The sequence below is a fragment of the Homo sapiens genome, chromosome 16, assembly GCF_000001405.40.
Source record: "Homo sapiens chromosome 16, GRCh38.p14 Primary Assembly".
NCBI lineage: Eukaryota > Metazoa > Chordata > Mammalia > Primates > Hominidae > Homo > Homo sapiens.
The window spans coordinates 36,051,611-36,065,308 of NC_000016.10; positions in this window are offsets into that span (position 1 = coordinate 36,051,611).

Below are 13,698 nucleotides of genomic sequence, written 5' to 3' on the forward strand. Positions count from 1 at the left end.
TCTTTGGGATGTTTGCATTCAACTCAGTTTTGAACATAAATTTTCATACAGCAGTTTTGAAACACTCTTTTTGTAGTATCTGCGAGGGAATATTTTGACCGCTTTGAGGCTTTCGATGGAAATGGGAATATCTTCACATAAAAAGTAGACAGAAGCATTCTCAGAAAATTCTTTGTGGTGTGTGTATTGAACTCACAGAGATGAACCTTCGTTTTGATAGGGTAGTTTTGAAACACTCTTTTTGTAGAATCTGCAAGTGGATATTTGGAGGACTATGAGGCTTATGGTGGAAACGGGAATATCTTCACCTAAAAACTAGACAGAAACATTCTCAGAAACTTCTTTGTGATGTGTGCATTCATCTCACAGAGTTGAAACTTACTTTTGATAGGGAAGTTTTGAAACAATTTTTGCAGAATCTACAAGTGGACATTTGCAGAGCTTTGAGGCCTGTGGTGGAAAAGGAAATATCTTCACATAAACACTAGACAGAAGCTTTCTCAGAAACTTCTGTGTGAGGTTTCTATTCAACTCACAGATTTGAACATACCTTTTCATAGAGTAGTTTTGAAACACTCTTTTTGGAGAATCTGCAAGTGGATATTTTGGCCCCTTTGAGGCTTTCGTTGGAAACGGGAATCTCTTCACAAAAAAAGTAGACGGAAGCATTCTCAGAAACTCCATTGTGATGTGTGCATTCACCTCACAAAGTTGGACCTTCCTTTTGATAGAGTAGTTTTGAAATACTCTTTTTGTAGAATCTGCAAGTGGATATTTGGACCGATTTGAGGCCTTCGTTGGAAACGGGAATATCTTCACATAAAAACTAGACAGAAGCATTCTGAGACACTTCCTTGTGATGTGTGCATTCAACACACAGAGTTGAACCCTCCCTCCTTTTGATAGAGTAGTTTTGAAACACTTTTTTTGTAGTATCTGCAAGTGGATATATGGAGTGCTTTGAGGCCTTCAGTGGAAATGGGAATATCTTCACATAAAAACTAGGTAAAAGCATTCTCGGAAACTTCTTTGTTATGTGTGCATTCAACTCACAGAGTGGAACCTTTCTTTTTATACAGCAGTTTTGAAAAACTATTTTTGTTGGTATCTGCAAGTGGATATTTGGAGGGCTTTCAAGCCTACGGCAGAAAGGGGAATACCTTCACCTACAAACTAGACAGAAGCATTCTCAGAAACTTCTTTGTGATGTGTGCATTCAAGTCACAGAGTTGAGCCTTCCTTTTGATAGAGCAGTTTTGAAACACTCTTTTGTAGAATCTTCAAGTGGATATAAGGAGTGCTTTGAGGCTCTGTTAGAAAAGGAAATATCTTCGTATAAAAACTACACAGAAGCATTCTCTGAAACGACTTTGTGATGAGTGCATTCAACTCACAGAGTTGAATCTTTCTTTTGATAGAGTAGTTTTGAAACATTCTTTTTGTTGAATCTGCAAGTGGGCATTAGGAGCACTCTGAGGCCTGTGGTGGAAAAGGAAATATCTTCATATAAAAACTAGACAGAAGCTTTCTCAAAAACTACTTTGTGATGTGTGCATTCAACTCACAGAGTTGAACATTTCTTTTGGCAGAGCAGTTTTCAAACACTCTTTTTGTAGAATCTGCAAGTGGACATTTGGAGAGCTTTGAGGCCTATGGTGGAAAAGGAAATATCTTCACAAAAAAACTAGACAGAAGGATTCTCAGAAACTTCTCTGTGATGTGTGCATTCAGCTCACAGTGTTGAACCTTTCTTTTGACAGAGCAGTTTTCAAACACTCTTTTTGTAGGATCTGCAAGTGGATATTTAGAGAGCTTTGAGGGCTATGTTGACAAAGGAAATATCTTCACATAAAAACTAGACAGAAGCATTCTCAAAAACTTCTTTTTGGTGAGTGCATTCAACTCACAGAGTTGAATCTTTCTTTTGATAGAGCAGTTTTGAAACACTCTTTTTGTGGAATCTGCAAGTAGATATGTGGAGCTCTTTTAGGCCTATTGTGGAAACGGAAATATCTTGACATAACAACAAGATAGAAGCATTCTCAGATACTTCTCTGTGATGTGGGCTTTCCTCTCACAGAGTTCAAGCTCTGTTTTGTTAGAGCAGTTTTGAAACGCTCTTTTTGTGGAATCTGCAAAGTGATATTTGGAGTGCTTTGAGGCCTATAGTGGTAAAGGAAATATCTTCACATAAAAAGTAGACAGAAGCATTCTCAGAAACTCCTTTGTGAAGTGTGCACTCAATTCACAGAGTTGAAACTTTCTTTTGATACAGTAGTTTTGAAATACCCTTTTCTGGAATCTGCAAGTGGATATTTGGAGCACCTTGAGGCCTACAGTGGAAAAGAAAATATCTTCACATAAAAACTGTACAGACGCAATTTCAGAAACTAATTTGTGATGTGTGCATTCAACTCACAGAGTTGAACTTTTCTTTTGATAGAGCAGTTTGGAAACTCTCTTTTTGTAGAATCTGCAAGTGGATATTTGGTTCCCTTTGAAGCATATGTTGGAAAATGAAATATCTTCACATAAAAACTAGACAGAAGCATTCTCAGATACTCCTTTGTGAAGTGTGCATTCAATTCACAGAGTTGAAACTTTCTTTTGATACAGTAGTTTTGAAACACACTTTTTCTAGAATCTGCAAGTGGATATTTGGAGTGCTTTGAGGCCTACAGTGGAAAAAGAAATATCTTCACATAAAAACTGTACAGAAGCAATTTCAGAAACTTCTTTGTGATGTGTGCATTCAACACACAGAGTTGAACTTTTCTTTTGATAGAGCCATTTGGAAACTCTCTTTTTGTAAAATCTGTAAGTGGATATTTGGTTCTCTTTGAAGCATATGTTGGAAAATGAAATATCTTCACATAAAAACTAGACAGAAGAATTCTCAGAAACTTCTTTGTTATGTGTGCATTCAACTCATGGAGTTGAACCTGTCTTCTGATTGTGCAGTTTTGAATCTCTCTTTTTACAGAATCTGAAAGTGAATGTTTGGAAACTTTTGTGGCCTATTGTGGAAAAGGAAATATCTCCACATAGAAACTACACAGAAGCATTCTGAGAAACTTCTTAGTGCGGTGTGCATTCACCTCACAGAGTTGAACTTATCTTCTTATTGAGCATTTTTGAATCTCTCTTTTTGTGGAATCTGCATGTGGATATTTGGAGCCCATTGCGCCCTATGGTGGAAAAGGAAATATCTTCAAATGAAAACCACCCAGAAACATTCAGAGAAACTTCTTTTGATGTATGAATTCAACTCACAGAGTTGAATCTATCTTTTGATTGAGCAGTTCTGAATCTCTCTTTTTCAGAATCTACAGGTGGATATTGTGAACCTTTTGAGGCCTACTATGGAAATGCAAATATCTTCACATTAAAACTACACAGAAGCATTCTGAGAAACTTCTTTTTGAGGTGTGCATTCAACTCACAGAGTTGAAATTATCTTCTCATTGAACAGTTTTGAATCTCTCCTTTTGTAGAATCTGCAAGTGGATATTTGGAGCCCATTGTGGTCTATGGTGGAAAAGGAAATATCTTCAAATAAAACTACACAGAAACATTCTGAGAAACTTCTTTGTGATGTGTTCATTCATCTCACAGGTTTGAACCTAACTTATCATTGAGCCGTTTTGAAACACTCTTTTTTTAGAATCTGCAAGTGGATATTTGGAGTGCTTTGAGGCCTACTGTTTAATAGGAAATATCTTCACATAAAAACTACACAGAAGCATTCTGAGAAACTACTTTGTGATGTGTGCATTCATTACACAGGGTTGAAACTTTCTTTTGATTGAGCAGTTTCAAAAGACTCTTTTTGTAGAATCTGCAAGTGGATATTTGGAGCCTTTGCGACTTATGGTGGAAAAGGAGATATCTTCAAATAAAGATACACAGAAGCATTCTGAGAAACTATTTTGTGATGTGTGCATTCACTTCACAGAGTTGAACTTATCTTATGAATGAGCAGTTTTGAAACACTCTTTTTTTTAAATCTGCAAGTGTATATTTGGAGCGGTTTGAAGCCTAATGTGGCAAAGCAAATATCTTTACATAAATACTACACAGAAGCATTCTGAGAAACTTCTTTGTGACGTGTGCATTCATCTCATGAGTTGAACCTTTCTTTTGATTGAGCAGTTTCAAAACACTCTTTCTGTAGAATCTGCAAGTGGATATTTGTAGCCTTTTGAGGTCTATTGGGAAAAGGAAATATCTTCACATAAAAACTACACAGAAGAATTCTGAGAAACTTCTTTGTGATGTGTGCATTCATCTCACAGAGTTGAACCTTTCTTTTGATTGAGCAGTTTTGAAACCTCTTTTTGTAGAGTCTGCAAGTGGATAATCGGAGCCCTTTGAGGCCTATTGTGGAAAAGGAAATATTTTCACATAAAAACTACTCAGAAGCATTCTGAGAAAATTCTTTGTGATGTGTGCATTCAACTCACAGAGTTGACCCTATGTTTTGACTGAGCAGTTTTGAATCGCTCTTTCTGTAGAATTTGGAAGTGGATATTTGAAGCCCTTTGCACTCTATGATGGAAAAGGAAATATCTTCAAATAAAAACTACACAGAAGCATTCTCAGAAACTTCTTCCTTATGTGTGCTTTCAACTCACAGAGTTGAACCTATCTTTTGATTGAAGAGTTTTTATCTCTCTTTTTGTAGAATCTGCAAGTGGGTATTTCGAGCACTGAAACGCCTACTGTGGAAAATCGAATATGTTCATATAAAAACTACACAGAAGCATTCTGAGAAACTTCTTTGTGATGTTTGCATTCACCTCTCAGAGTTGAGCCTATCTTATGATTGAGCAGTTTTGAAACACTCTTTTGTAGAGTCTGCAAGTGGATATTTGGAGCTCTTTGAGGCCTACCGTGGAAAAACAAATGTCTTCAGATAAAAACCACACAGAAGTATTCTGAGAAACTTCTTTGTGATGTGTGCATTCACCTCTCAGAGTTGAACCTATCTTACGATTGAGCAGTTTTGACACACTCTTTTGTAGAATCTGCAAGTGGATATTTGGAGCTCTTTGAGGCCTACCGTGGAAAAACAAATGTCTTCAGATAAAAACCACACAGAAGTATTCTGAGAAACTTCTTTGTGATGTGTGCCTTCATCTCACAGAGTTGAACCTTTCTTTTGATTGAGCAGTTTTGAAACAGTCTTTTTGTAGAATCGGCAAGTGGATATTTGGAGCCCTTTGAGACTTATTGGGAAAAGGAAATATCTTTACATAAAAAGTAAACAGAAGCATTCTGAGAAACTTCTTCATGATGTGTGCATTCATCTCACAGATTTGAACGTTTGTTTTTATTGAGCAGTTTTGAAACACTATTTTTGTAGAATCTGCAAGTGGATAATTAGAGCCCTTTGAGGCCTGTTGTGGAAAAGGAAATATCTTCACATAAAAACTACTCAGAAGCATTCTGAGAAACTTCTTAGTGATATTTGCATTCGCCTCACAGAGTTCAAACTTTCCTTCGATTGAGCAGTTTGAATCTCCCTTTCTGTAGAATCTGCAAGTGGATATTTGCAGGCCTTTGTGCCCTATGGTGGAAAAGGAAATATCTTCACATAAAACCTGCACAGGAGCACTCAGAGAAATTTCTTTGTGATGTATGCATTCAACTCACAGAGTTGAACCTATCTTTTCATGGAGCAGTTTTGAATCTCTCTTTTTGCTAGGTCTGCAGATGGATATTTGGAGCTCCTTGAGGCCTACTGTGGAAAAGTAAATAAGTTCACATAAAAACTGCACAGAAGCATTCTGAGAAAAATCTCTGGGATGTGTACATTAAACTCACAGTGTTGAAGCTATCTTTTCATGGAGCAGTTGTGAATCTCTCTTTTTGTTAGATCTGCAGTTGGATATTTGGAGCTCTTTGAGGCCTACTGTGGAAGAGCAAATAAGTTCACATAAAAACTGCACAGAAGCATTCTGAGAAACTTCTCTGGAATGTGTGCATTAAACTCACAGTGTTGAACGTGTCTTTTGATTGAACAGTTTTGAATCTCTCTTTTTGCAGAATCTGCAAGTGGATATTTGGAGCCCTTTGCGGCCTATGGTGGAAAAGGAAATATCTTCACATAAAAACTACACAGAAGCATTTTGAGAAACTTCTTTCTGAGGTTTGCATTCATCCCACAGAGTTGAACCTATCTTTTGATTGAGCAGTTTTGAATATCTCTTTTTGTCGAATCTGAAAGTGGATATTTGAAGCTCTGTGAGGCATACTGTGGAAAATCGAATATGTTCCCATAAAAAGTACACGGAATCATTCTCAGAAACTACTTTGTGATGTGTACATTCAACTCACAGAGTTGAAACTATTTTTTGATTGAGCAGCTTTAAATCTCACTTTTTGCAGAATCTGCAGGTGCATGTTTGGAGAGTTTTGAGGCCTATTGTAGAAATGGAAATATCTTCACATAAAAACTACACAGAAGCATTCTGAGAAACTTCTTTGTGAGGTGTGCATTCAACTCACAGAGTTGAATTTATTTTCTCATTGAACAGTTTTCAAGCTCCTTTTTGCAGAATCTGAAAGTGGATATTTGGAGCCCTTTGAGGCCTACTGTGGAAAAGCAAATATATTCACATAAAAACTACACAGAAGCATTCTGAGAAAGTTCTTTGGGATGTGTGCATTCAACTCACGGAGGTGAACCTATCTTTTGATTGAGCAGTTTTGAATCTCTCTTTTTGTATAATCTGCAAGTGGATTTTTGGAGTGCTGTGAGGTCTACTGTGGAAAATCAAATATGTTCACATAAAAACTACAGAGAAGCATTCTGAGAAACTTCTTTGTGATATGTGCATTCAACTCACGGAGTTGAATCTATGTTTTGATTGAGCAGTTTTGAATCTCTCTTTTTGCAGTATCTGCAAGTGGACGTTTGGAGCACTTTGAGGCCGGTGGCGGAAAAGGAAATATCTTCATATAAAAACAAGACAGAGGCATTCTGATAAACTTCTTTTTGAGGTGTGCATTCAACTCACAAAGTTGAACTTATCTTCTCATTGAGCAGATTTGAATCTCTGTTTTTGTGGAATCTGTAAGTGGATATTTGGAGCCTTTGCTCCCTATGGTGGAAAAGGAAATATCTTCAAATAAAAACTATACGGAAGCATTCAGAAACACTTCTTTGTGATGTGTTCGTTCACATCACAGGATTGAAACTACTTTATATTGAGCAGTTTTGAAACAATCTTTTTGTAGTATCTGCAAGTAGATAATTGGAGCCCTTTGAGGCCCATTGTGGAAAAGGATATATGTTCACAGAAAAACTACTCAGAAGCATTCTGAGACTCTTCTTTGTGATGTGTGCATTCAACTCACAGAGTTGAAACTATCTTTTGATTGAGCAGTTTAGAATCTCTCTTTTTGTAGAATCTGCAAGTGGATATTTAGAACACTTTGAGGCCTATTGTGGAAAAGGAAATATCTTCAAATAAAAACAACACAGAAGAATTCTCAGAAACTTATTCATGATGTGTGCATTCAGCTCACAAAGTTGAATCTATCTTTTTATGGAGCAGTTCAGAATCCCTCTTTTTGTAGAATCTGCAAGTAGAAATTTGGAGCGCTGTGAGGTCTACTGTGGAAAATCAAATATGTTCACATAAAAACTATGCAGAAGCACTCTGAGAAACTTCTTTGGGATGTGTGCATTCAACTCACAGAGTTGAACCCATCTTTTCATAGAGCAGTTTTGAAACACACATTTTGTAGAATCTGCAAGTGGATATTTGTTTCCCTTTAAGGCTTATGATGGAAAACAAACTATCTTCACATAACAACTAGACAGAAGCGTTTGCCGAGGCTTCTTTGTCATGTGTGCATTCAACTCACAGAGTTGAAAGTTTCTTTTGTTAGAGCAGTTTTCAAACACTCTTTTTGTATAATCTGCAAGTTGATATTTGGTTCCTTTGGGGCCAAAGTTGGAAAACGAAATATCTTCACATAAAAACTACACAGAAGCATTCTCATAAACTTCTTTTTGATGTGTGCATTCAACTCACAGAGATGAACCTTTCTTTTGATAGAGCAGTTTTGAAACACTCTTTTTGTAGAATCCGCATGTGGATATTTGGAACGCTTGAGGCGTATGGTGGAAAAGGAAATATCTTCACGTAAAAAACAGACAGCAGCACTCCCTGAAATTCTTTGTGATGTGTGAATTCTGCTCACAGAGTTGAAAATTTCTTTTAATAGAGCATCTTTAAAACACTCTTTTAGTATAATCTGCAAGAGGAAATTTGGCTCCCTTTGAGGCCTATGTTGGAAAACGAAATATCTTCACATAAATACAAGACAGAAGCAATCTCAGAAAATTCTTTGTGATATATGCATACAAATCACAGAGTTGAAACTTTCTCTTGATAGATCAGATTTGAAAAACTCTTTTTGTAGAATCTGCAAGTGGATAGTTGGAGTGCTTTGAGGACTAAGGAGGAAGAGGAATTATCTTCACATAAAAACTAGATAGAAGCATTCTCCGAAACTTATTTGTGATCTGTGCATTCAACTCACAGATTTGAACCTATCTTTTGATTGAGAAGTATAGAATCTCTCTTTTTGTAGAATCTGCAAGTGGATATTTGGATACCTTTACCCCCTATGGTGGAAAAAGGATTATTTTCAAATAAAAACTACACAGAAGCATTCTCAGAAACTTCTTCATGATGTGTGCATTCATCTCACATTGTTAAATCTATCTTTTGATTGAGCAGATTTGAATATCTCTTTTTGTAGAATCTGCAAGTGTATACATGGAGAGATTTGAGATCTACAGTGGAAAAGCAAATATCTTCAGATAAAAACTACACAGAAGGATTCTGAGAAACTTCTTTGTGATGTGTACATTCATCTCACGGAGTAGAATCTTTCTTTTGATTGAGCAGTTTTGAAACACTCCTTTTGTAGAATCTGCAAGTGGATACTTGGAGCGCTTTGAGGCCTAAGGTGGAAAAGGAAGTATCTTCACATAAAAGCTAGTCAGAAGCATTGTCAGAAACTTCTCTGTGATGTGTTCATTCAACTCACAGAGTTGAACATTTCTTTTTACAGAGCAGTTTTGAAAAAATGCTTTTGTAGAATCTGCAATTATATATTCTGTTCCCTTTCAGTCCTATGTTAGAAAACAAAATATCTTCACATAAAAACTAGACCGAAGCACTCTCAGATACTTTTTTTGATGTGTGCCTTCAACTTAAAGTGTTGAAGCTTTCTTCTGATAGAGCAGTTTTGAAACACTCTTTTTCTGGAATTTGCAAGTGGATGTTTTGAGCGCTTTGAGGCATATGGTGAAAAAGGTAATATCTTCACAAAAAAATACAAAGAAGCATTCTCAGCAACTTCTTTGTGATGTGTGCACTCAACTCACAGAGTTGAACCTTTCTTTTGATAGAACAGCTTTGAAACACACTTTTTGTAGCATCTCCAAGTGGATATATGGAGGGCTTAGAGGCCTATGGTGTAAAAGGAAATATATTCATATAAAAACTAGACAGAAGCATTCTCAGAAACTTCCTTGTGATGTGTGCATTCAACTCACAGAGTTGAAAGTTTCTTTTGATAGAGCAGTTATGAAACACTCTTTTTGTATAATCTGCAAGTTGATATTTGGTAACTTTTGAGTCCTATGTTGGAAAACGAAATATCATCACATAAAAGCTAGAAATAATCATTCTCAGAAACTTCCTAGTGAAGTGTGCATTCAACACACAGAGGTGAACCTTTCTTTTGATAAAGCAGTTTTGAAACACTCTTTTGTAGAAGCTGCAAGTGGATATAAGAAGTGCTTTGAGGCCTAAGTTAGAAAAGGAAATATCTTCACATGAAAACTAGAGAGAAGCATTCACAAAAACTTCTTTGTGATGTGTGCATTCAGCTCACAGAGTTGAACCTTTCTTTTGATAGAGCAGTTTTGAAACACACTTTTTGTAGAATCTCCAAGTGGATATAAGGAGGTCTTAGAGGCCTATGGTGTAAAAGGAAAGGTATTCACATAAAAACTAAACAGAAGCATTATCAGAAACTTCCTTGTGATGTGTGTATTCAACTCAAATAGTTGAAACATTGTTTTGAAAGAGTAGTTTTGAAATACTCTTTTTGTAGAATCTGTAAATGGATATTTGGAGCACGTTGAGGCCTATGGTGGAAAAGGAAATATCTTCACATAAAAACTAGACAGAAGGATTCTCAGAAACGTCTTTGTGATCTGCGGATTCAACTCACGGAATTTAACCTATCTTTTGATAGAGCAGTTTTGAAACACATTTTGTAGAATCTGCAAGTGGATATTTCGTTCCCTTTGAGGTCTATAATGGAAAATGAACTATTTTCACATAAAAAGTATTGAGAAGCATTCTCCGAACTTCTTTGTGATGTGTGCATTCAACTCAAAGAGTTGAAAGTTTCTTTTGATACAGCAGTTTTGAAACACTCTTTTTATGTAATCTGCAAGTTGATATTTGGTAACTTTTGAGTCCTATGTTGGAAAATGAAATATCATCACATAAAAGCTAGACAGAATCATTCTCAGAAACTACCTTGTGATGTGTGCATTCAACTCACAAAGCTGAACCTTTCTTTTGATAAAGCAGTTTTGAAACACTGTTTTTGAAGAATCTGCATGTGGATATTTGGAGCGATTTGAGGCCTATGGTGGAAAAGGAAATATCTTCACAAAAAATTACACAGAAGCATTCCTCAAAACTGCTTTTTATGTGTGCATTGAACTCACAGAGTTGAATCTTTCTTTCGATACAGCAGTTTTGAAACACTATTTTTGTAGTATCTGCAAATGGATATTTGGAGTGCTTTAAGGCCTATGATGTAAAAGGAAATATCTTCACATGAAAACTAGAGAGAAGCATTCGCAGAAACTTCTTTGTGATGTGTGCATTCAACTCACAGAGTTGAACCTTTCTTTTGATAGAGCAGTTTCGAAACATGCTTTTTGTAGAATCTACACGTGGTTATTTGGAGCGCTTTGAGGCCTACGGTGCAAAAGGAAATATCTTCACATAAAAACTAGACAGAAGCATTCTCAGTTACTTCTTTGTGATGTGTGCAATCAACTCACAGAGTTGAACCTATCTTTTGATAGAGCAGTTTTGAAACACACATTTTGTAGAATCTGCAAGTGGATATTTAGTTCCCTTTGTGACCGATAATGGAAAACGAACGATCTTCACATAAAAACTAGACAGAGGTATTCTCCTAAACTTCTTTTTTATGTGTGCATTCAACACACAGAGTTGAAAGTTTCTTTTGATAGAGCAGTTTTGAAAAACCCTTTTTGTATAATCTGCAAGTTGATATTTTGTACCTTTTGAGGCCTATGTTGGAAAACAAAATATCTTCACATAAAAGCTAGACAGAAGCATTCTCAGAAACTCCTTTGTGATGTGTGAATTCAACTCACAGAGTTGAACCTTTGTGCATGTGGATATTTGGAGCCCTTTGTGGCCTATGGTGGAAAAGGAAATATCTTCACATAAAAACTAGACAGAAGCATTTTCAAAAACTTCCTTGTGATGTATGCATTCAACTCACAGAGTTGAATCTTTCTTTTGACACAGCACTTTTGAAACACTCTTTTTGTAGTATCTTCAAATGGATATTTGGAGTGCTTTAACGCCTATGATTTAAAAAGGAAATATCTTCACATGAAAAGTGGACAGTAGCATTCTTCGAAACTTCTTTGTGATGTGAGCATTCAACTCAGTGATTTGAAAATTTCTTTTATTAGAGCATGTTTGAAACACTCTTTTTGTAGAATCTGCAAGTGGAAAGTTTGTTCCCTCTGAGGCCTATGTTGGAAAACCTACTATCTTCACATAAAATCTAGAAAGAAGCATTCTCAGAAACTTCTTTGTGATGTATGCATTCTACACACAGAGTAGAACCTTTCCTTTCATAGAGCAGTTTTGAAACTCTCTTTTTGTAGAATCTGCAAATGGATACTTGGGGCACTTTGAGGCCTAAGGTGGAAAAGGAATTATCTTCCCATAAAAACTAGACAGAAGCATTCTCCGAAACTTCTTTGTGATGTGTGCACTCAACTCACAGAGTTTAACCTTTCTTTCAAAAGAGCAGTTTTGAAACACTCATTTTGTAGTGTCTGCAAGTGGATATTTCGAGCGCTTGGAGGCCTATGGTGGAAAAGGAATATCTTCCCAGAAAAAGTAGACAGAAGCGTTCTCAGAAACTGCTTTGTGATGTGTGCATTCAACTCACAGAGTTGAACCTTTCTTTTGACAGAGAAGTTTTGAAACACTCTTTTTGTAGAATCTCAAAGTGGATATATGGAGGGCTTAGAGTCCTATGGTGGAAAAGGAAATATGTTCACATATAAACTAGACAGAAGCATTCTCAGAAACTTCTTTGTGATGTGTGCGTTCAACTCACAGAGTTCAATATTTGTTTTGATAGATCATTTTTGAAACACTCTGTTTGTAGAATTGGAAGTGCATATTTGGAGTGCTGTGAGGCTTACAGTGGAAAAGGAAATACCTTCACATTAAAACTGGACAGAAGCATTCTCTGAAACTTCTTTGTGATGTGCGCATTCAACTCACAGAGTTTAATCTTTCTTTTGATAGAGCAGTTTTGAAACACTTTTTTTCTGGAATTTGCAAGTGGATGTTTTGAGTGCTTTGAGGCCTATGGTGGAAAAGGAAATATCTTCACAAAAAATCTACACAGATGCATTCTTAGAAACCTCTTTGTGATGTGTGCACTCAACTCACATAGTTGAACCTTTCTTTTGATAGAGCAGTTTTGAAACACACTTTTTGTAGAATCTCCAAGTGGCTATATGGAGGGCTTGGAGGTATGGTGTAAAAGGAAATATATTCACATAAATACTAGACAGAAGCATTCTCAGAAACTTCCTTGTGATGTGTGCATTCAACTCAAATAGTTGAAACTTTCTTTTGAAAGAGTAGTTTTGAAACACTCTTTTTGTAGAATCCGCAAGTGGATATTTGGAGCGCTTTGAGGCCTACGGTGCAAAAGGAAATATCTTCACATAAAAACTAGATGGAAGCATTCTCCGAAACTACTTTGTGATGTGTGCATTCAACTCACAGAGTTGAACCTTTCTTTTGATAGAGCAGTTTTGAAACACTCTTTTTGGAGAATCTGTAAGTGGATATTTGGAGCCCTTTGAGTCCTACTGTGGAAAAGGAAATATCTTCACATTAAAACTACACAGAACCTTTCTGATAAACTTCTTTGTGTTGTGTACATTCATCTCACAGAGTTGAACCTTTCTTTTGATTGAGCAGTTTTGACACACACTTTTGGTAGAATCGGCAATTGGATAATTGGAACCCTTTCATGCCTATTGTTGAAATGGGAATATCTTCACATAAAAACTACTCAGACGCATTCTGAGAATCTTCTTTTTGATGTGGGCATTCAACTCACAGAGTTGAAACTATCTTTTGATTGAGCAGGTTTGAAACTCTCTTTTTGCAGGATCTGCAGGTGAATGTTTGGAGCCCTTTGAGGCCTATACTGCAGAAAAGCAAATATCTTCCCATAAAAACGACACAGAATCATGCTAAGAAACTTCTTTGGGATGTGTGCATTTAACTCACAGAGTTGTACCTATCTTTTGAGTGAGAAGTTTTGAAACTCTTTTTGCAGAATCTGCAAGTG